Genomic DNA, 24,157 nt, shown 5'->3' on the forward strand with positions numbered 1-24,157 from the left:
GTGGTGGCACGTGCCTGTAGTTCCAGCTACTCGGGAGGCTGAGGCAGGAGAATCGCTTGAACCTGGGAGGCAGAGCTGGCAGTGAGCAGAGATTGCACCACTGCACTTCAGCCTGGCGACAGAGCATGACTCCATCTCAAAGAAAAAAGAATAGAAAGCATGAGTAGTGATTACAGACATAAATTTCAGTAGCCCACTGAAGAAATATTCTGTGATTTAATGTCAGTCTTTTTAAAGTCACAATTTACAGCAACCTTTTTCTCCCTTAGAATTTAAACATGCTTAATCCCGTTTCATCTCAAACAATAAAATAAAAGAGACATGCCACCTCCACTTTTTCCAACACCCCTTTCCTGAGTTCCAGCTAACACTGTGAAAGCAAGGTGTATGTTTCTTAAGTATTCATTTAAGTTCTTGGGTTTATTTACATATTGTTTCTCCCTGGCATTAATCAGAGTATTGTTTGAATTTTCCAACGGTATTTCAGTTACACTCTGTTGATTCAAAAGAAGGTTGTTTGTCCAAGCTTGTCCAAGTCAGTTTCAAGAGGCTCAGCCACCAAAAGTTTCATCAAAGAGGAAGCCAAGGTCATCAGTAAAGCCTCACGAGAGGTAGGATCACAGGGGTGAAGTGGACACTCACGGGTCCTGCCATCCTTGGCATCAGGAAAGTCTCCATTCTGGACCACCTTTGTCTGTCTGAACAATTCCTCTCAGATTTTAGAGTCTGGAAATTTCCTGAGTAGCTTAAGAGAAGATAAGAGTCAAAGTTTCCAAACTGTAGAAATAACCCAAATGCATGGCTCCTTTTATTTCCACAAATTTGGCCAGAGACATGACAATTTGGGCAACTTTGTGCAATGTTTTACATTTAATGATTTTTATGACCCAAACTCTGCTAGGCAGAATAGTATAAGCATTTGTAATCCGTACTGAAATAATCCATCTGGCATAAAATCCAAATTTCAAAATTGGATGAGATTGTGTGTTCTGGGCCTACCAAGATAGTTATTACACACATGAGAACTCAAAATACTAAAGCTACTGGTAGAAACAATTGCTCTTCTCCTTGCTGTAAACATGAAAGTGAGAAGCAGCAAAGAACGATCAACAAATTAACACCCTTTTCATATTTTTTGTGACAGCTACCTGGAACGGGCAGGAAAGAAAAATGCAGATAAGAAAATTAAAACCACAGACTCCTGGGCAGCGAACAAGAGCCTTCTGATCCTAATTCGATCTGGAGTTAAGAATGAAGGGGATTTCTGTAGCAGTTTCTTTTGCATAGCAGAGCTCCGACTTTTCCAGCAACAGCGTGTCCCTGGAAGCTACACAAAGTCCTCTTTGATTGCCTGTGATCAAAGCCACGAAGGCTCTCCTGCAACATCTTAGCTTCAGAAAGCCAGGAAAATCAGAATGCTGAGAGTATATTAATAATTCCTAAACATATTTTTAAGGTGAGTGGTACTTCTAACAGAGCTTCATTATTACTAAAAATGATTTGTTTCTGACTTTCCTGTTGGGGAAAAAGTTAGCCTTAACTTTCTGATGAGCAAGTTGCATGTTACAGTGGATATTGAACAATATAGTCAGTTGTTTTACTCAGAATTTATGCAGCTGATCACATAGGGACAGGACTGGATGATAGAAAGCTCACTAGACTGGAAGTCAGGAGAATCAGCTTTGTCACCGATCTAACGTAGCATAGTGGACGTGTCTAATAGCCTTGGCCTCAGCATCTCCATCTGTGAAATGGGCTGAAGGGCTTGAGCTCTCTGTTACTTCTTTGGGATGTGGTAGTTAAGAAGGCTCCCATTGGATTCCACATACCCTTGTTTATAGCCATGGCTGAATCTTCACAAGACTGCCAAATCCCAAGCTGCCTCCTCTTCTGTACCATTTCTGCCACATTTGGGTCTTTATCAGCAGGAGAGTGCAGACACTTTAATGTGAATTCATGTGCAGCATTTGACCGAGGATTATTTCTACTTTTTAAAAGGCAGCAAGCAAAAACATGCAACTTGATATATGGGGGTGGGAAGGATCATATTTTAAAGTCAGAAGAACTGCTTATATATTTCAACTATAAAATTTATTATCTGTGTGAATTTCATTAAATTATTTAACTCCTCTGAGTCTCAATTTCTTATCTGTATAATAAAACCTAGTCCGCATATTGCAATGAAGTTAAAAAGACAGTCTGTTTATGAAAAGTGTAAATTTCTATTTAATATCAAAAGTACGTAATCTAAATTGTGAAGTCTTTATTATTTTTACTATTTATTTTTATTTATTTATATATTTCATGAATATTAGTAGTAGTTGTTATAGAAGAGTATTAGTAGTATTAGTTGTAGGGACAAGAACCAACAAACTATTTTTTTAATGATGGCATTTCATATACAATGAGGAATCAGGGTAGAAGAATTAATTGAGGAGAGGGAAGCATCTTTTTGCGGCAATTAAAATATGTACAATCATACCTAAACTAGTCACCCTATTTTTAGTTCCTTCTCTCCCTTCCTTCTCTCCCTCCCTTCCTTCCCTTCCTCCCTCCCTCCCTCCCTCCCTCCCTCATTCCTTTATTCCTTCCTTCCTTGCTGTCTTGCTTTCTTTCTGAATATGTACCTACTCTACATTTGCCAACTCCAACTCTGGATGCATTCTAAAGGAAAGACAAGCCAACCACAGGGTAGAAACATCACCCTGAGCCAGAGCTCTGGGTCAACAGTGACGACAGGAGGCATCTGGTAGGGAGAAAAGATGTAGCAATTTTACCTGGAACTACAAAGATTTGAGACTCAGAATCACGCTGACATTTGGGGACCTAGCAGGGGTGTATAGACAAAATGTGGCACCACATTTGTCTTGAACTACTGATTGCTGAGGCAGATTTTCTTGTAAAGGTAGGACGCCAAGCAGTATGGTCCAATCTCTCCTTGATTTTCTGATGAGGGTCAATAGAGGAGAGAAGGAGAGAGAAGAATTGAGAGAAGCAAAATTTGGAGACCGTTGAAGAGTCAGGCTCTCTTATAGATTCTCAGAAGAAAAAAGAAAACCTGTGATACTGATATATCAAATAAGAGAGGTTTGATATATTATTAGATATCAAATTGATGTATCTAATAAGATAGGTTTGATATTTTCACTCTCGTCCGTGTGAAGAGACCACCAAACAGGCTTTGTGTGAGCAATAAAGCTTTTTAATCACCTGGGTGCAGGCGGACTGAGTCCGAAAAGAGTCAGCGAAGGGAGATAGGGGTGGGGCCGTTTTATAAGATTTGGGTGGATAGTGGAAAATTACAGTCAAAGGGGGTTGTTCGCTGGCAGGCAGGGACAGGGGTCACAAGGTGCTCAGTGGGGGACCTTTTGAGCCAGGATGAGCCAGGAGAAGGAATTTCACAAGGTAATGTCATCAGCTAAGGCATGGACCAGCCATTTTCACTTCTTTTGTGATTCTTCAGTTACTTCAGGCCATCTGGATGTATACGTGCAGGTCACAGGGGATATGATGGCTTAGCTTGGGCTCAGAGGCCTGACAGATACAACATTTGATTATATTTGATATATCTTATTTGATATACCTAATAAGATATATCAAATAAGATAGATAGGTTTTAAATAAGATTAGTTGGCAAGAAAGCTGCCTCACACCACCCCTACTGCAGCCTTTTGCACATTTCTGTCCTTAGCTTACCTCCCTTTCATCTGGTAATAATGGTGGCACTGGACCTTTTTTCCAGATCACCTTCCTTTAGCTGCCTCTTGGTCCACTTTTCCCCTTCAAGGTTGCTCTTGCTGCTAAAGGTTTACCATGACTTTATTTCTGTGGATGGGAATGGGGAGTGAGCGTGTGTTATTATGGAGCCATCTCTTAATGATGTAGTCCTGGGCCCAGGGAGAACTTGCAATTGCATGCTCCATAAGTCCTTCTTTATTTCTTCCATGCACACAGCAGCTTTGCTAATGCCTCTCAGCCTGACACACCCAGTCAATCTGTTACACTCAAGATGGTTTTTACTACAATGGGAGGGAATCTGCATATGTCCTGGTGGGTACTGGTACATCTGATTTTTACATAGGTTGCAAGTAATCTGACCAGTTTGTTAATGACCTTCTAATGTACATTTGCATTATGATTGTTCCCATTATTTGCCATTCCAATTCCACTTACGGGGGTTTTCTTTCGAGACGCTAGCTGTCTTTCCTACCTGCCTGTAACACATTCACAAAGTTAATGAGGACATGTGCGCATGGCAGTGGGTGTCACCATTTTAATTGCTTCCAAATATGGTTAGCATATGTTGTCTCAGTATAGAAAATCTGAATTAAAATGCTAAGCCTTTTTAGTACTGGCAAGAGATAATAGTCTCTAGAGCTAGGGCTCTTCTGAGAAATTCATGACGTCTCCAAAGTTTCCCTCTGGTTCAAGAAGATGCTGGTTTTTCTGAAACAGCTCTTATATACTTTTGATCTCCTTGGACTTTTAACGCTTCTGTAGATAGTGATTTGGTAACTTCCATGAGATAAGGTCAGAGCTAGAATGGGCTGGGACTTGCTTTCATTAGTATGTGTCTAAGCACTTGGTCCAGGAATGATATCCTTAACAGTAGCTTTCCTGTTCAGTCACTTCCCCCTAATTTAACTATAAGAACAAGGAACTTAATTTTGTTGAGGTCTTACAAAAAATTGTATTCTTTGATTATATGCTGTGAGCATGAAGGATGTGTGAAAATACTCAAAAGAGAACGTCTGCTTCTTCTTTGCAAGAAGCTTACTATTTCTTGGATGAGACCAAATGGCCAGAAAAAGGAGCTTAACAATATTGTACAAAGTAAATTCAAAGAAAAAATATGGCCAGGCACAGTGGCTCACACCTGTAATATCAACATTTTGAGAGGCCGAGGTGGGAGGATCACTGGAGGCCAGGAGTTTGAGACCAGCCTGAGTAACATAGTGAGACTCATATCTCTACAAAAAAAAATTAAAAAAATAAAAAATTAGTGAGTGTGGTGGCATGTGCCTGTAGTGCCAACTTCTTGGGAGGCCGAGGCAGGAAGATTCCTTGAGCCCAGGAGTTCAAGGCTACAGTGAACTAGGATCGTGCCACTGCACTCCAACTTTGGATGACAGAGTGAGGCCCTGCCTCCAAAAAAATAAAAAGTATATGTAAGTAGTGCATCTGTTATTGAACAGTACCAGGAAAGGAGATTTCTTAAATGATTGGAGAAGGTGGGAGTGGAGGACTCTGCTTAGAAATGCTGGACAAGTTCAGATTTGATATGACAGGCTGCTCTAGTTCCTATTTGGAGAACCTGAAAAATAATATGCACAGCACCCTATGCTCTTGTCAGATGATATCATGCCAGAGGCAAGAGCTCTTTTTCTGGTGAGTGCATGCATGCATGTGTGTGTGTTTTGAGTTTGCAAGCTGTCTTACTTCATCCATGTTTAGTGGAAAAGAATATTGGCCCACTGTGTAATAACAATTATTAATAGTTAATAACAATTTTATAAAATAAATTATCTAGTGCGATGAAACAAAGGATAGTCTCTTCTTCATGTATAATAAAATATAATTTGATTGAGAAACAAACCCTTCATCTGCATTGTACAAATAGGTGAGAGGTAATTAATGGGAAGATTTTCTTTTTCTCTCTGGGAAAATGAATCACATACTTGGCTTCCTTGGCTGCCTGTCAAGAAAACAACTCTCCACACGCTGAAATATCTTAGAGGCAAATTGGATGCTCAAGACAGAAGCCTGTGACAGAATCAATGTTGGACTCTCCGCAGATGGGGCCAGTGTAGCAAAGCCCTCTGGCATAGATGGGCTTCATATTACTGTTAGCTACCATAAAATTGTCCCTGTGAAACCACAGAAAATTTTACCAACTCCCTTTAGGGCAAGAAAGAGAAATGGGAACAAGAAACAGAAAACAAATCACTCACTCTGTTCTAGAGTATAAAAGCAGATACTGGCAGGCTATTTTTAAAAGTTACCTTTAAAATCATCCCTTTGCTTTATTAAAGAAAGCAGTCTTTGATTTCATGTACAGGTGTATGAAATATTTTTAGGTAAACAGTATGAAGATCTAAGGGAAAAGTCTGTGTGCCTCAGAAGAGGTAATGGTGTGTGCAATTGGATTATTGGATGTTCTGTGCCCTTGTATAATATATATATAATATATAGTTATGTAGATCATATGTACGTTGAGCAAAACTACCTGGATCTGAACATATGGAAATCTCTATGATCCAGTAAGAGGTATTGGGATCCTTTTTCTTAAGGAGAAAAATCCTTCAAAGTTAGGTATCCTTTACTAGGCAGGCAGACTCATTACCAAAACTGCAGTATGCGGACCAGTCTTGGGTGTTTGAAACTTGGCTTTGATACGGTGACAACTCTGTGTGTAAATTACTCTGCATAGTAAAATATTCTAACCTCTCCTGCATAGTAAAATACCAATCAGCAATGAAGACAGATTACAGCTGGAACAAATGCAGTTAGTGAACTTGGATTTTTCCATACTAATGAAGTTAAACAGAAAAATAAATAAATACAACAATAGGAAAGTCCAAAATAACTCATGTGTGGGTGGCTTTATGTACTTGGAGATCGATGCTTACACATATGCGTCATGCCTACAAAGACTGAGGTCCCAAGCAGGAGATCAAGAATATGGAAGGAAAAACTAAACTTCCTATAGAAAATGCATGTAAAACAGGTTTTAGAGCCAAATAATCACGTGTTCAAATCCTGGTTCCTACTATTTAGTTGAGTTACACAGTATTTCAGATCATGAAAGCATAATTTCCTCACTTACGAAATGAGGAGTAATCCTCGCCCTGGGATTTCTGTGAGGAATAAATACAAAATCACACATCTGACACAGAGGGGTGTGATTGTCATTTCAATGTGTCAACTTGACCAGGCGACAGTACCCAGTCATTCAATTAAGCACTAACCTGGGTGTTGCTGGCAAGGTATTTTGTAGACCTTGTTAGCATCTGCAATCTGTTCACTTTCAGTAAAGCAGATTATTTTCCATAATCTGGGTGGGCCTGATTCAACCAGTTGAAAGGATGTAAAGGTAGAACTGAGGTTTACCTGGGGGACAGGAAATTCTCCCTGTGGACTGCAGCATCAGCTTCAGCCTGGGAGTCTCCATTCTCTCTTTTTTAATGGCCTGCCCTATCGATTTCAGACTTATCTAGTCTCCACAGTCATGTAGGCCAATTCTTTGTACTCTATCTATATATCTAAATCTATCTAGCTAGCTACCTAGCTAGCTATTATCTATCTATCTTGGTTATATGTTTCTTTCATGGAATGCTGACTAATACAAGTAAGAATCTTAAAATGTTATTTTCTGTATAATCCAAATTTGAGGGTTCATATTTGAATACACAAATTCTATATTTCTATCAGATTGTAGTGATGGATAAAAACAAATATTTGTCTTCTGCTCACCTCCTTTAAACTAGAGGAGAAAGAAAGTGTGCCTGGAAGTTCTCAAGTCTTTTCCTGTTAGTATATTAATATGGATTCATTTATTTGAAGCATGATCATCCCACACTTAGAAAGCCTAGCCTTGAGGAAATCAGGCATAAGGCAGATTAATTGCCCTGGCTGAAAAGGGAAAGGGAGAACTTAGGGATGAGAACATCAGCATCAACATCAACATGGAACACCATTTATCATGTGCCAGGCACTGTTCTTAATAGTTAACTAACAGGCATTCACTTATTTCATCTTCATGGTAACCCTAACAGGTGAATACCACTATCATTCTCACATTCCAGGTGGGGGATCTGAGGCATGAGGTTTAAATTGCTTGTCCTGGAATGTGGTAAAGTCATAGCGGCCACCGCAAAACATCGCTCCAGAGAGTCAATAGAGTGGAAGCTCCTTTGGGTGCCTCTTTACATGGAGAGATGGGAGGCAGGTGGAAGAGTGCAATCCCGTAGAGCATGGAGCATCCACAGGAGCCCTCTGATATGGAATGAGAACTGGAGGAGAGAAATCAAAAAATAGGAAGAGCTTAGGGCAAGGAATCTGAAAACAGGACTATTAGATAAAATGTCAGTGTAGGGACAACGTCTTGGTCTTCTGGTCTCCAGAATTTAACTCAGTGCCTGGAAAGTAGAATATATCCCAAAAACCTGTCATGAATTGAGTAAAAAGGTTCGGATAACATTTTACCAGGAGCTGGCTTAGGTATTAGGGTTAGAAGAGAAATGCAAAGCATATTTTTACTGTCTGTGATTGAGGCCATGGTTATTAAGGTTGTCTGGCTTATAAAAACCTCTTAAAGAATGCAAAAAACATTTTTGAGTTATTTAAGTGGATGCCTCAAAGAACATTGAGGGAAATTTTTATTACGAGGATGTGATATTTAAAATAAACGGGCCGGGCGCGGTGGCTCACGCCTGTAATCCCAGCACTTTGGGAGGCCGAGGCGGGCGGATCACAAAGTCAGGAGATCGAGTTCAACCTGGCTAACACGGTGAAACCCCGTCTCTACTAAAAATACAAAAAATTTGTGTGGTGTAGTGGCGGGCGCCTGCAGCCCCAGCTACTCGGGAGGCTGAGGCAGGAGAATGGCGTGAACCGGGGAGGCAGAGCTTGCAGTGAGCCGAGATGGTGCCACTGCACTCCAGCCTGGGCAACAGAGCGAGACTCCATCTCAAAAAAGAAAAAATAATGACAATAATAATGCTGCGCCCAGCACGGTCAGCTAATGCCACATGGTAATTGCTGCGTGTGTGAGTAGCAAAATCACATGGAAGAAGAGCTGGCCTTGGGGACAATGCCACGTTACAGTGAGGAGCTCCAGAAAAACCCAGTAGAAATTTCTCAGGTTCACGCCTGGGTGCCCATCCTCTCCCTGATCCCACAAAAGAATAAAGATCTTACAAATATCCAATGAATACCAGGATGGAAATAACTTGTTTCCTGGCATTCAAGACAGAGGAAATCCTTACTATTAAAAACAAAAAACAAAAAACAAAAAAACAAAAAAAACTAGAAATGATTAGCAAAGACATGAAACACAACAGTTTAAAAAAATAAAAAAAATAAACTAGAAAATTCTATCATATTTGTTCGTTTTAGTTTGCCACTTGAAATACAAACCAGTGGCCGGGCGCGGTGGCTCACACCTGTAATCCCAGCACTTTGGGAGGCCGAGGTGGGCGGATCGTCTGAGCTCAGGAATTGCAGACCAGCCTGGCCAACATGGTGAAACCCCATCTCTACTAAAAACATACAAAAAATTAGCTGGGTGTGGTGGCAGGTGCCTGTAATCCCAGCTACTTGGAAGGCTGAGGCAGGAGACTTGCTTGAACCTGGGAGGCAGAGGTTGCAGTGAGCCAAGATCGCACCATTGCACTCCAGCCTGGGCAACAAGATTGAGACTCCATCTCAATATAAAAAATAAAAATAAATTAAAAAATTTAAAAAAAAAGAAATGCGAACCAGTGACTGAAATGTATATTTCCCAACCAGGGACTGTTCCAATATCACATTTAAAAGGGGTTGGTGGCCTCATTTCAATTCCCATCACATACATTGTTCTAATTGGTAAATCCCTGCAGACAAAGCAGGAGCTCCAAAATCAGGGTAGAAGGTTTCCTTCAACTTCTCAGATTAACTATTTTGGTAAACAGCATACATATTTCTCACATAGTGCTAATATTATAATGGCCAACCTCCAGATTTAAGTGCATCAATTAAGTAAACTACACTACTTCTGTGAATAAAAGATGTTTGTTTTACTAAATCTGCCAATTTAATTAACTAGCACAATTTCCTATATATAGAAAATTTGAAACACAAACAGTGACTTCTTCTATGACTAAATTTTTTCCTAATAAATACCTGCTTAAAAGATTGTCGGCATGAGGATAGCATTATTTTTTTAAGTTCTTTCTCAAAGAAGCCAGTCAATCAAGAGCTTATCGAGTGTGTACCAGATAATCAATTTTTCCCCCAGAGGACTTAACTTTAAGCAGGGTTTTTCAACTTCTGCATTAATGATATTTTGGGTTGAAAAATTTTATACTGTGGAAGACAGTCCTATGTTTTTGAATTTTTAGCAACATTCCTGGCCTCTACCCATTAATGCCAATACTACCCCTTCCTCAGTTGTAATCTTAAGTGTGTCCAGACATTTCCATATCCCTAATTGGCAAAATTACTCCCAGTTGAGGGATGCTGCTTTATATTCTTGAAATAGATTGCATTAGACAGCGTAGGCTATCTATGACAAGTATTTCTCAGATCTTAGCTTGAGATAATAGAAATTTATCTTTTGCTCTAATCAGAGAACAGTGAAGGTCATGAAGGTGGGAAGGGGTAGCATGTTCCATGTTAGAGATCTTCCACCTTTCAGCTACTGGAGCCACATTCCATTGGCCAGAATTTAGTCATCCATGCCCACCTAAATGCAAGGAAAACCGTGAAATATAGTCTCATTGCATGCCAAAGAGGAAAACAAACTAAGATTTGGGAAATAACATCAAGTCTCTGCCACAGGGTGTGTTAGTCTGTTCTCGCGCTGTTAATAAAGACATACTCGAGACTGGGTAATTTATAAAGAAAAGAGGTTTAATGGACTCACAGTTCCACATGGATGGGGAGCCCTCACAACCATGGCAGAAGGTGAATGAGGAGCAAAGTCACGTCTTCCATGGTGGTGGGTAAGAGAGCTTGTATAGAGGAACTCCCCTTTATAAAACCATCAGCTCTTATGAGACTTACTATCATGAGAACAGCACGGGAAAGACCTGCCCCCAAAATTCAATTACCTCCATTGGGTCCCTCCCCCGACATATGGGAATTATGGGAGTTGCAATTCAAGATGAGATTTGGGTGGGCACACAGCCAAACCATATCACAGGGATTATAACAAAATAAGGTCAAGTCATGACAAACAGATTATTTTGACGTTGTTGGAAGGGATTGCCACAAAACATCATTAGACTAATTTACTTCCAGTCAAAGAAGCCTGTATTTGCTTACATAGTCCTAGAACACTGAGCAAAATTATGAAAGGATAATCTCAAAGCCTCTTTTTAGGTCATTAGTGTGCGTTTAGTGAGATAATGGACCCTCTTCTAGTCCAACATTCTCTTCAGGTTCTTCAGGCCTGTCTCAGAGCTATGGAGGATGCAGCAAAAGGGATGCCTTTGATCTGCTGTCTCTGGATGCACAAGGAGCTCAGAGAAACAACCAGGACACAGAACAAAACAAAGCATGGAGCTCTAATTTAGGGGTTTCAGCTAAGCGAGTCACTCAGCACCAGCACTGCACAGGAGGTAGGTAAGTCCCGATTAAGTTTCTGGCTTCAGAAGCTCCCCTCTGTGAGACCTTCAGAAATCTTCTTAATTGGAAAACAGCTTCAGTTCCCTTCTTTTCTTTTCTTTTTCTTTTCTTTTTTTTTTGAGATTGAGTCTCACTCTGCCCCCAGACCAGAGTGCAGTGACACAATCTTGGCTCACTGTAAGCTCCACCTCCCAGGTTCACGCCATTCTCCTGCCTCAGCCTCCCGAGTAGCTGGGACTACAGGCACCCGCCACCATGCCCGGCTAATTTTTTGTATTTTTAGTAGAGACGGGGTTTCACCATGTTAGCCAGGATGGTCTCAAGTCTCCTGATCTCGTGATCCGCCCGCCTCGGCCTCCTAAAGTGCTGGGATTACAGGCGTGAGACACCACGCCCTGCCCAGTTCCCTTATTTTCTAATGCTATGTTTTCAAGGTTGTTGTTAGGGTTAGTTAAACTAATTTATATGAAACACCTGGTGAATATAGTGCCTGGCACAGCAGTATTTATTTACATCCTTCTTAAGTCTTTGGAATCATAGATTATACTATCAGCAGATAAACTTGACAGATGCATAGACATGATCAGAAAGAGAATGGAAGGAAGATGTGGAGAGGGAGAACAGAAGTCAGAAACCAGAACAAAGGAAGACAATGTAGACACTGTAACATTAGTAGAGAGTTATAGAATATTGGGTTTAATTTTAGGTAGAATGCATTTCGTTAGCTCTATCTGGTTTATCTTTGATTTGTCCATTATACAAAGCTGATCTCTCTTCCCTCTGCTGTCTACTCCTCCCTGGAAGGTAGGCAGTGATAGATGCTAAGATTGGTTTGTCCTAGGCTATCTCAATAAGGACATTTTCTCTACAGAATTTTCTAATTTCAATGAGCCCCAAACCATAATTTTGAGCAGCTGTACAAACCTTTCTGTAATGATAGTAATAAAGATTGCTACCATTTATTGGTTGTCCATAATAATCTTTATTCTGTTTCTGTTCCAGTTCTTACAGCTTCCTTTATGAGAAAGATTTGTTCTTCTGTTTATAGGTGAGAAATCTGAGACCTAAGAAATTAAGTGATTGGCCTGTGGGAGATTTGAATCCGGTTTTTCTGACTCCAAAGCCTTACCTGTTTCTTCCTAACATGTTGACTGCCTATTCTAAGCATATACAGTGTTGCAAATGTCTGACACTGTTCTAGAGCCTCATCCTCTTTTCACCTCCAACATGCTCTTGTTTGTGGCCTGGTCGTCAGAGTATATGCGCTGGGCTGGGAAACCCTCATTGGTGGAGACAAAGTGGCAAGAGAGTAAAGGTGGCAATTTCCAAGGGGACCTCATTGCACATCAGACACAAAGTGTGACTCAGGCATGTGCCTCAACATATAAGCCAAGAGAGTGCCAGGCCTTTAAATAAGAAACACTGGATGTTTTCTGCAACTTAAATACAAGTAAGCTTGGCGGGTAGGGAGGGAAATTGTTGTACTGGAATCTAACAGTGTTTTCAAACGTTCCCATTTCACCATTAATGGTGGCACATAATCAAATTAGCCTTTAAGAGCAATCATCACTCCATGGGTGGCACCGTGGTATGCGAAGATGCCTCGGAGATTTTAATTCTCTGTAACAGCTTTCTACAATAAAACAGTACCGAATTTGAAAGTCATTGAGAGTAATTCTAGTAGGTCTTGTTTATACACGATCTTGCAGAGGTGTCTCAAGAGCTAGTGGCTTAGATTGAGTCACTTTATACAGTTAAAGCTGTAGATATAAGCACAGACAGAAAACTGTACCTCTGTAGATCTGTAGATGTCTGTCAGTGATTCACAGCTCATACAACGCCAAGATTCAAATTTCTCTTAGAAGGGCTTTTAGTAATTCAGATGGAAAAGACTTTCCAGACAGATTCCAAAGGATTATGTTTGGGGACTGCAAAGGAAGAATTTCCAAAATTTTGTGGGCTTACTTTTTTAGTTTTACAACAACATTTACCTTTCCTGTGTGATACTTGCTGATCACAAGGGCAATACCCTGTCCTCGGTAATCTATTGTGGGCTTGCTGTTGATGATAATAAGTTTCACCATGAAGCCTGTGACTAGCCCAAGTTGTCAGAAACTCCTCATTTCTCCGATAAGCACTTTGCCAAGCTGGCAAATGCCCCTAGGAGCCACAGTGCCCCTGTTGCCTGCACACTTTGGACCCTTTTCATTAGCTTCTGACTCATTGCACTTGCACTTAGCGCACGCTCTGATGTGGACTTCCAGCTCAGAACCCAGGTTCTCGAACTCATGAACGCATTCAGCATCCCTTGCTATCACAACCAGCTTGACAGAAAGACCACAGGCCAAGTGCAGCAGAGTTCCAGAAAGTGAATGCAGCAAAATACCCTTGCTCTCTTTGAGGTACTGAAAACAGTCCTGCCATTTAGCTTAAGTAGAAATCTAATTAATATGTTGAAGAAAAGATCGAATATTACTGTATAACTTTCAACAAGAAAACCAATTCTGAAATGAAAAAAAAGCAAATCATGCTATATATTAAGATAAATATTTTTTAGAAAAAGTTCTTATATTTCACAAGGATTCACTGTGTGTGAAATTCAATTAAGTCTTTTAAATCAGATTCTATTTATGCCTTTACAATTACAGTTAGAATTTTAAAAATGTTTCTTTCTTTCTTCTCTTCTTTTCTTTCTCTCTTTCTTTCCTTCCTTCCTTCTTTCTCTTTCTTTCGTTCTTTTTTTTTTTTTCTCACAGTTTAGCTCTTGTTGCCCAGGCTGGAGTGAAATGGCGTGATCTCAGCTCACTGCAACCTCCACCTCCCAGGTTCAAGCAATTCTCTGCCTCAGCCTCCTGAGTAGCTGGGATTACAGGTGCCCACTACCATGCCTGGCTAATTTTTTGTATTTTTAGTAGAGACAGGGTTTCACCCTGTTGGCCAGGCTGGTCTTGAACTCCCTACCTCAGGTGATCCACCTGCCTTGGCCTCCCAAGTGCTGGGATTACAGGCATGAGCCACTGCACCTGGCAAGAAACGTTTCTATCGCACAAAATAAAGTAAAGCTGTGCAGTACAGTATTTTTTCCACATGGCAATTTTTGAAACTTGGAGATTTTCAATGTTCACAGTTTCCTTCATGCAATGCTCTATCCTAGTTCAGGGGACAGGATTTCTCTAGTTAACAGATATTCTGTCTTTGGAAATGACTGATCTAAATGTCAGTCTGCATGTCTTTCCAGGAAGGCATCATCATCGTAAGGTGCCATTATGAATAACATTCTGAGATCACCTGAAACACTAACTTAAAAATAAGACATGCTAAGTTTTAAAATCATAGCATTTTCTCTCATTTTTAAAATGATTAATTTATCATAAAGGAAACACTAGGTTCACTGTCTCATTCTGCAAATTGTGAGGAATTACATTTGAAGGTAAGCAGGCCACTTACAACTTATTCATCCTAGTCTTCAATTATTACAGCTATTTAAGTGATAATTGCTATTCTAATTTCACTAGAATTCCAACTATAATAGGAAAAGAGGTAAATAACTTTTCAGGGGCTCATGCTTGCATTTCTTTGATTATACAAGAGAAAAGAAGACAATATGTGAGTTTCTCTTCACTCACTTTTGGCAACTTCTGTCTGTGCATTAAGAATTCTAGAGCTGTAGCACCAGGAGGACAGGACCACCCTGTATTCAAATTGGGAGCCTCTACAAAGTCACCTTTAGACTGCAGAGTCATGCTTTTCTCATCAAACCAGCCAGCCCTAATTTTCTTTAGGTGTCATTTGTTTACATTTCAAAATGAATAAATTCCTGTCAACGTGTTCAATGTAGTACTTGAAATGAAATACTGGATATGTCACACAGACAGCTGAGATTATCTTCTGAAGTCCTAAGATTCTGATTAATGAGAAAACGATGTAAAGCCAGATTCTTCTCCCATTCCTCCAGGTTTCTAGCTTGAAATTTGCCTTCTGAAAGTAAGCCAGCTTTTCTCCTCCAAAGTAGTGCCAGGTTTCTGTCTGCTAAGGGGACTGATATGGTTTGACTCTGTGTCCCCACCTAAATCTCATCTTGAATTGTAATCTCCATGTGTTGAGGGAGGGATCTGGTGGGAAGTGACTGGATCATGGGGGTGGTTCCCCCATGCTGTTCTCATGATAATGCAGGAGTTTTCACAAGATCTGATGGTTTTATAAGTGTTTGGTAGTTCCTCCAGCTTTCATTCTCCTTCCTGCTCCCCTGTGAAGAAGATGCCTGCTTCCCCTTTGCCTTCTGCCATGATTGTAAGTTTCCTGAGGCTTCCCCAGCCATATGAAATTGTGAGTTCATTAAACCTCTTTTCTTCATAAATTACCCCATTCAGGCATTCTTTACATGAAAATGGACTAATACAGGGACTAAGCGTCACAAGAAGGCATAAAGCCTTCAGTGTATTGCAGCTCTGTCCAATGGTGGTCAAATTATTTGAGGAGTGGGTGGGCTGGGGTTAGTATTAGAGTTTACATCATGGTCCTGTCTTTTGACTTTTGTCCTTCCCTTTCTCCTGCCCTTAGGGTATCAGAGCCAGGAGGGTGGCTGACTCTGATGATAGAACAAGAGCCAAATATGCTCCTGATGCTCCAGTAGAGTGGTCTTCAGGTGATCGAGATTCCGAGCTCCCAAACCAAGGCAAGAATAAGGAAACTGGAACAGGAGGGCATGCTGGGCTCCAGCCTCCCGTGACAGTGAAACATTGCCTTAGAATGACTGTTGTTAATACAATTGAGGAAATATAACACGTAATCTTGTGATTAAGTTATACACAATTTGATTTAAATTTAGTTCCTGGCAGTTGCTAGGTTTCACTCTGGCATACTCTCTCAGTGTGGAAGCTGCTGATTCAGAAAGAGATGTTCCAAAGCTCATGTATTTCCTGGACACATCCAAGTACTGAATAAAATGCTGGTTAAATAAATGAGTTAATTTTCCAAGAAAGACACCAATTACTTTTAGATTCTTTTGCTTTCTTAAGCAGATGTGTACACATTCGGAAACATAATTGGAGGGAGGATAGAATGGGGGAAAACATGGAACTGCTGGGAGCTCAGTCAGAGACTGAAGATGATGCAGAGACTTATTGAGAGGACCACATTGGGTGCCTGGAAACTGGAAGAACAAGACACTTGGACTCCTATTTTTTCACAAGTTGGTAGGATGGGGACAGAAGCATGGGAGGTGAAAACATTATCTAGGATTAAATACTACTTTCAGTTTACTAGTGCCACAGAAAACACTTTATTTTTCCACGGATGTTCAGAAACCTTTATTTATTTCCTCCCTTAGCAGTGTGGATTTTGTAGGACAGAACCATACTAATTTCATACAGATGCTGGGACTGTCTCTAGGCAGAGTTAATTAGTGTTAGTTAACAGCATTAGTGTACCCACATCCATAAAAAAGTAATTTCCCTATTGCAAAGTCATCTAAAATTTTGTGTCAGCTCAGACTCTCCTATTTCCCCTGAATGTCATTCAAAGGAAACACCACTAACAAAAAGCTAATTAACCTCCACAGAAATAATTTTTAAATCCAAAGTTTGATGTCCAAATTCCCCTAGGCAAGGTCAGTAGTGAAGCCACACAATCAATGCTGATGGCTATATCTTCATAAACAAATAAACACATCATAAGATCATAAGATAACTGATTTCTAGATACCTACACAGTAGCAGAAATCAGAAAGGTACCTGCTCCTCACAAAAGCATCAGAATTAAAAGCATTGTGAACTTCCTTTTGATAGTTTGGATGCAAAAATTAAATATATTATAAACGTGAATAAACTTCACCTTATCCTTAACAAGCTAGATACTGGAACTTAGAGATATTAAAATAGTGAATTCAGAAAACTTAGGGCTTTCAGTCTTCAATTCCCAGACTATTTATAAAATGCATTCCAAGCCCTTTTAGATGTTTTATACATTATTATTGACTTGAAAATATAAATCGAATAGGTTGAAATAAAACATGATTTTCAAATGGAGAAAAAATAGTGAGATATATTTCCTTTAAAAGATCATGACCTCTTTGCATTTCTGTCTCCCTTCTTATAGCTCCTGCCTCTGGCAGAGCCACATGCTCTTAGAAGAACAGAGGAATAGTCTAATATAGTGCCAAGAAGTCAAAGACCTTTATTTCTTTCTAAGTTACTTGAGCACTGTGCACACACCACACTTGAGTGTGCAGCATTTTTGTCCCTCCTACTTTTATTTTATAAGAAAATCTAATATGTCTCTTTTTTCTGCTTGCTTTTATGAGTAGAGATTATGCTTTCAAGTAATGAGAAAGGCTCATTTCTTCACTTTGCAATTTCCTTCTAATCTTTTTTATTTTTATTTTTCCACCTTGAGAGGTCTCCTTGCTACCTTATACCCTAATGGATTCCTCCGTGCTCCACAGACATGGCTACAGATTTATTTAAGTTATTGCATTCCTTCTGTCTTCTGTCATTCAACTGCAAACTCTGTAAAATTCTTTTCTTTCTAGCCCTAAATTGGCTATATAAGATGGCTTTTCCCAATAGTTACTGAGAGGGCCTTTAGGGAAAGAATGCTCTTTGGCTGACCCTGAACCACCATATGCCAGGGGACAGTTAATCCTGCTTCGAATGGGGACTAAGAGGGAGGAAGTAGAGCAGAATAAGAATCCCTCCCTCTGACAAATACAGCAAACTGGGTTATATTGTCCACCTGCATGTTGTCCACCTGTGAGAGCCAGGAGCAATGCTTCTGCACTTCCCTTCAATATTTCTTTACTACTGTTCTTGTCAGCTTAAATTTTATCTAAGAAAATTCTTCTTTTTTTTTTTTGAGACAGAATCTCGCTCTGTCACCCAGGCTGGAGTGCAGTGGCGCGATCTCGGCTCATTGCAAGTTCCACCTCCCGGGTTCACGCCATTCTCCTGCCTCAGCCTCCCGAGTAGCTGGGACTACAGGCGCCCGCCACCACGCCCGGCTAATTTTTTGTATTTTTAGTAGAGACGGTTTTACCGTGTTGGCCAGGTTGGTCTCGATCTCCTGACTTCGTGATCCGGCCGCCTTGGCCTCCAAAAGTGCTGGGATTACAGGCATGAGCCACCGTGCCTGGCCAGAAAGTTCTTCTTTAGACAACTCAGTATGTTCTTGGCATATCCTACACTCAGCCACAGGCCTTAAAACAAAATCCTTCCAAGCATGATGTTCTTAATATAAAACAGTAGTTCTGAATCACAGACGATTTTATTGTCTCCACCCCTAGCTACATTTTGGCATTATCTGAAGACATTTTTGATTGTTACGATTGAGTAGGTGCTACTGGCTTCCAGTGGGTAGAGGCCAGGGTGTTGCTAAACATTCTGCAATGCACAGGGCAGCCCCCCACAATGAAGAATAATCTGATCCTTCTGTTGAGGTTGAGGAATCCTGAGATAGAGGTCTGACTCCCATCTCTTCAAGCCAGAAAATACATAAGACCTGGTTGAGAGGCCTGCAAAGCTTTTGATAACACCAAGTTTTGGATTTTATTCCACAGACAAAATCAAAACCAGCATTGTTGCATCCATGACTCACTAGCACACAGTAGCATTGCTAGAGTAAATAGCTACCTGTTTCTAAATATTCTTTCTCACACATAGAGACAGCTGTTCGTGAGCATAGTACGATATACTTCATCAGAGGGACTTCTCTGAAAACTTGTTTGTATAAGGGAGAAGAATAAGTGAAGTTGCTCTTCTCCCCCAGGGCCGCATGTACTTTGAAAACAGTCTCTTTGAAATGGCTTCCCTCTTCTAAATCTTCTTGAGGTTATAATGCAGAGTATTTTCTTTGATGTTTCTTCCGTCTGTCTCTCTTTATGAAAGAAGCTCTTCAATTGCATGAAAGGCTCTGTTATGGGATTGTTTCCCAAAGACTGAAGATTCTGGGGTCTTAACTCATTTAGTAGTAAAATAGGAGTGCACTTTGTAGGACCCACCTTCTCCTAGCACTTTCCTGAGTCTGCCTAAGTGTAGAAATTCCCAAGCTAGCTAGACAGCAACTTTCTCTGTGGGGCTGTGTGACTGGCACATACTTCATCCGAAGGAGGGGTAGAATGGTGCCCATGGAAAAGGGAGAAAGAAAATGAGAAAAATCACAAAACCACTGAATATTAATGCATCATAAAATCAGGGGAAATGGTCAAATAAAGGAATGGGACAATGTGTGTGTTTTAAAATATCCTGTATGTCTTTTTCTGGATATTTCCAGGATGTGTATGGATGTCGATTGTAGTAAACAGAATTATTATCTATACATTACAGCCTCTTAATGGGATCTGCAATAATAATGGAATTCTTTTGAACATTTTCTATAATTAATCTAGACAGCAATTTGCTCATATGTATGTGGCTTTTAGAACAATTAAGAGAATACAACCTGTCTGCATTATGGAAGTTGTTGTGACCTTCATATAAAAAAAGGTTTGCTCAGGAGAAAGATGGAAAAAAAAAAAGAACTGCAATATAAAAATATTCTATAACATAAATTTTTTAAAACACAGGACTTTGGACATTGTGGGAGGAAGAAGTACCCCATTAATATATTTATTTCTCTACAGTAGGAAAGTCTCCAGCAATCAGAGAACAATTTTAGAGGTCTCAAAAGGCTCTTGTGCTTCAACTTTTAATCTGGTAGTGACAGGCAATTGAAGTAGACTTGCCTTTGAGTCAGAAGTCCCTACTCCTCTTCTCTTTCATTTTGGTTCAAGTTAATTTCTCCTCAGCTGAAATTTGTATGTATGTGTGTGTGTGTGTGTGTTTGTGTGTGTGTGTTCTCCTCAGCTGAAATTCATGTGTGTGTGTGTGTGTGTGTGTGTGTGTGTGTGTGTGTATGTATTCCATGTAATGGAAAGACAATAAGAGACAGAACATTTGTATTTTACTTCCATGACTTGCCTTTTTGGCTTCACTCCAGATAAAACTATTTTTAAGCGCTGGCAATGGGGTCCCAGCTACCAATCTTCCGTGCTGGAGGTGACGGTGTAGAAAGGAGCAAAAAGTGCTTTCCCTCATGCAAGGTGCTTGAAGGTGTTTATACGGGAAAATGATTATCGAGAGTTTTTAGGCTGGATGACCTCCTTTATGGGGAAGATGTTCTTCAGGAAGCCAAGAGACTTGAGTGCTAAGAGACTTGGGTGCTAATTCTGGGTATGCCTACAGCTTCTTGGCTTTGAAAAAGACACTGATGAGTCAGTTGTTTTCATCTCTGATCTGGGATAATAAAATCTGATGCCAATGATCTTAGTCCCTTAAAAGTGGAACCTGAGGCCAAGGCTTTTGTGCGAGTCTTTTGAGATGGGAATTCTGGGGAGAAATACAGGACAGGAGAGTAAAATAGAAAAGGAGAGAAAGACGATACAACGATGCATTACTGAGCTGTCCACCACTATAAATACCTGGTGCTTGATTCTGCAGGGACCTTCTGAGAGCCTTCTGAATGGTGTCTCAGAACTGTCCACCCAGGGCACAAAAAGAGGAAGCATGATGTATCCGTTTTCACTCCCATCGGTTAAGAATGGCACCATGGGTGTTAATGTCCTCCGCCTCTGGGTTGCATGGGCATATGTGCAGGGGGGATGCCACCTGAACCCCATGCTGCAGATCGGAGGAGCCCGGGGAGGAAGAGAGAGGCAGCCAGACAGACCATGCTGAAGAGTTGTCTATTTCAGTCTCCTAAAACCAGATTTGAGCTCGTTCTGTTCACCATACACACATTTTCTGTCCTCAACTTACGCAGTTTTCCTGATGTGTCTTCTTCTTTGACTGAAGAATTGCAAGTCTATTCTTCACACTCAAGTCAAATATAACTTTCCACCAAGCTGTTTCTAATGATAGTGAATACCGTGTTTACTTCAAAATGTTGCTTTGAGGATTAAATGAGAAAATGCTTTTAAAGCATTTAGCGTAGTCTTAAGCATAGAGGTAACAATCAATCAATTATTGTTGTTCTTTAAATTTTTTTTCTTAATGATTATTATATTTGCTAGATTACTAAGCACCATGAGGGCAGAAACTGTGCCATTTGTGAGTGGCTCATATAGTGCCTGGCTACTAGTAGGTGTTTGTTATAGGTAGAATTGTGACAAGCAAAAAAAGACACCTTGTAATCAGAACCTGAGAACATGACTTTATTAGGAGACAAGGTATTTATAGAGGGAATCAAATTAAAACGAGGTCACTAGGATGGGCCCTAATGCCATACAACAGGAGTCTTTATAAAAAGGGGACATTTTGACACAGAGACAGACGCGTACAGAGAGAAGATGATGTGAAGACACAGGGAGAATTCATCTACAACTGCAGTCCCCAACCTTTTTGGCATGAGAAACCGGTTTCCTGGAAGATAATTTTTCCAAGGACTGGAGGTGAGGGGTGGTGGGAGCTGGTTTTGGGATGAAACGGTTCCACCTTAGATCATCAGGTATTAGATTCTCATAAGGAGTGTGCAACCTACATCCCTCCCATGCGCAGTTCACAATAGGGTTTGCGCTCCTAAGAGAATCTAATGTCCCCGCTGATCTGACAAGAGGCGGAGCTCAGGTGGTAATGCTCACTTACCCGCTGGCCACTCATCTCCTGTTGTGAGCGGTTCCTAACAGGCCATGGACCGGTACCGGTCTATGCCCCTGTGGGACTGGGGATCCCTGATACACAAGCCAAGGAATACCTGAGGCTTCTAGAAGCTAGGAGGGAGACCGGGGACAGATTCTCCCTTACGGCCCTCAGGAGCAACCAACCCTGCTAACATCTTGATTTCAGCCTTCTAGCCTTCAAAACTGCAGGATAATAAATTTCTGGTTTTCTAAGCCACCCAGGTTATGGTACTTTGTTATGGCAGTCTTAGGAAGCTAATACAGTGTTCACTGAATTTTTGAGTTTTTGGAATAAATAGATGAGTGACAAAGATGTGAGTATGATGTTGTTTTTTATAGTAGTTCACCCTACATATCTTTCAACGTCCAGATAAATTCCCACGAGTGCTATTCTATAGTCCTTCCCTGATCTTCTGGATGCGGGGAGATCTTCTCTATCAGTAACTGCATAGTTCTTCTTTCAACTGATACAAACACTGCTTTGTGACTTTTCTGGAATGGCTAGACAACTCGCGTTTTAAATTTATGGTCCAAGTATATATGAATACTTCATCCGGAATTGGAAACAGATTGTGTCACCCATCGTGCTCAGCTTCATCGAGTTAAATGCCTGAAGGCCCTATATGTTAGTAAATGCCCCAATCTGCTTCTCCAGTAGTGCCCACGTCTGGGTCTGATGCTCTGCTTCCTTCCATATGTGACATTTCTAACATCAGCGTAACAAAGTGAGAGGGTGCAGGGGTGCCGATGACTCCAACAATGACCCTTGTCAGCACTTGTGGGATTGGGACAAATGACTGCTAATATTCAGATATATAAAACATGCACATGTAGCCACCACTGTCTCCAGGCAGGAAGGTGACCAGGCAGGCTGGAAAGCAGAGAGACTCACATCCATTTTTTGAATACCCAAACCCATATACTCCCAACAGGATTTTGATAAATGTATTACTCAAATAAATCTAGTTTACTGTTTTTGTGCAAACAGATAAATATCTTCCTACCACTTCTTGTTCCAACTTGCTTCAACAAGAACATCTAATAAAAATATCTTATTTCAGCATTTGTTCATGGCTTGTGCAGACATTGTTTTTGAAATAATAGTCTTTAAAACGCTGGTCTCAAAATGCTTTCATGAGAAATTCATAGAGGCAAAATATTCACTTGCCTAGGTCCTCAGTAGTGGTTGATAAAAATTTTAGCAATTAGTGTCACCTTATTTCAGTATGAAACAGAAAACAGTGATGTTCTTATTATTAAGTCTTCTAAATTAGTAAGTGGGATGAGTCAGGAGGGAATTAATGACACCAAAGGTAAAAATAATGTAGTGAATATGGTTGTATTAGGAAATTTTAATTAAATGTGGTTTCTATTATAATTGGTTCTGATATTTTATTAACATGCTTCTACATGTAACTCTATCAAAATATGCATACAATCATGCCAACAGTTTTTAAACATTTGAGGTTTTAATAAATCCAGTACCCATAGTGACTCTGATAGTTGCAGTGTTTAAATGAAAAACCATGTCAACATTTTATTTTATCTGAATTATGTAGTTCCAAAACTCATACTATGGCTGCCCTAAAAACAGCTACTCATTCCGTTTTCTCCCAGAGAACTTTATACATATATTTGGTAGAGCAGGGATTCACTACTGTTAATAAATAAGAAGGCCCCGATGTCTAATGGAGTAAGAGAAATAAAATATAAGCTTTGTGGGGGAAAACAAGGTACTAATTACGTTTACTTTTATTTTCATTTGATGATAATTGATTTTTGTTTCAAGATCAGTAGAGTATGTGATCTCCATGCTCTTGCATTTAGGACTAGCTGAAGTCTTGGTAGAAGCAGAGGGCATGCTGGCCAGTGAAATGTTATTCTTGGACTTCAGTTTTTCCTTCTATAACAAATACTAGTAATGGTTGGTACCTGGCTCATGGGAAAGGTGTTCATACGCTTGATGTCACGCTGATGGGAAAATGTTGATCTGATTGGCTGCACAAACCCAAGCCAGTGTGGGCTGGATATCACTGATGAGTAAGTGACATTCCCTTGTTGAGAATCAGAAGTTGACATCACCCAGTAAGCACCTTTTGGCTATACCAGTAGTGAAAATATTGAAAATACTGCTGTATTGCCAGCTGGCAAATAGCTGCTGTCTTAAGACTCTGGGAGCTC

At 40.3% G+C, this 24,157-nt stretch overlaps 1 protein-coding gene and 1 long non-coding RNA gene across 14 annotated transcripts in view; one reads left to right on the plus strand and one right to left on the minus strand.

Moving 5' to 3' along the window:
* The window catches only part of GRIK1 (glutamate ionotropic receptor kainate type subunit 1), a 403,064-nt gene that overhangs the window by 210,757 nt on the left and 168,150 nt on the right, over nt 1–24,157 (minus strand). The window lies entirely within an intron of this gene.
* GRIK1-AS1 (GRIK1 antisense RNA 1) lies at nt 486–16,317 on the plus strand. Its single transcript, NR_027021.1, has 5 exons — nt 486–611; nt 1,145–1,456; nt 11,142–11,321; nt 12,331–12,376; nt 15,889–16,317. It is a non-coding gene; the product is annotated as a GRIK1 antisense RNA 1 (long non-coding RNA).

The sequence above is a fragment of the Homo sapiens genome, chromosome 21, assembly GCF_000001405.40.
Source record: "Homo sapiens chromosome 21, GRCh38.p14 Primary Assembly".
Classification (NCBI taxonomy): Eukaryota; Metazoa; Chordata; class Mammalia; order Primates; family Hominidae; genus Homo; species Homo sapiens.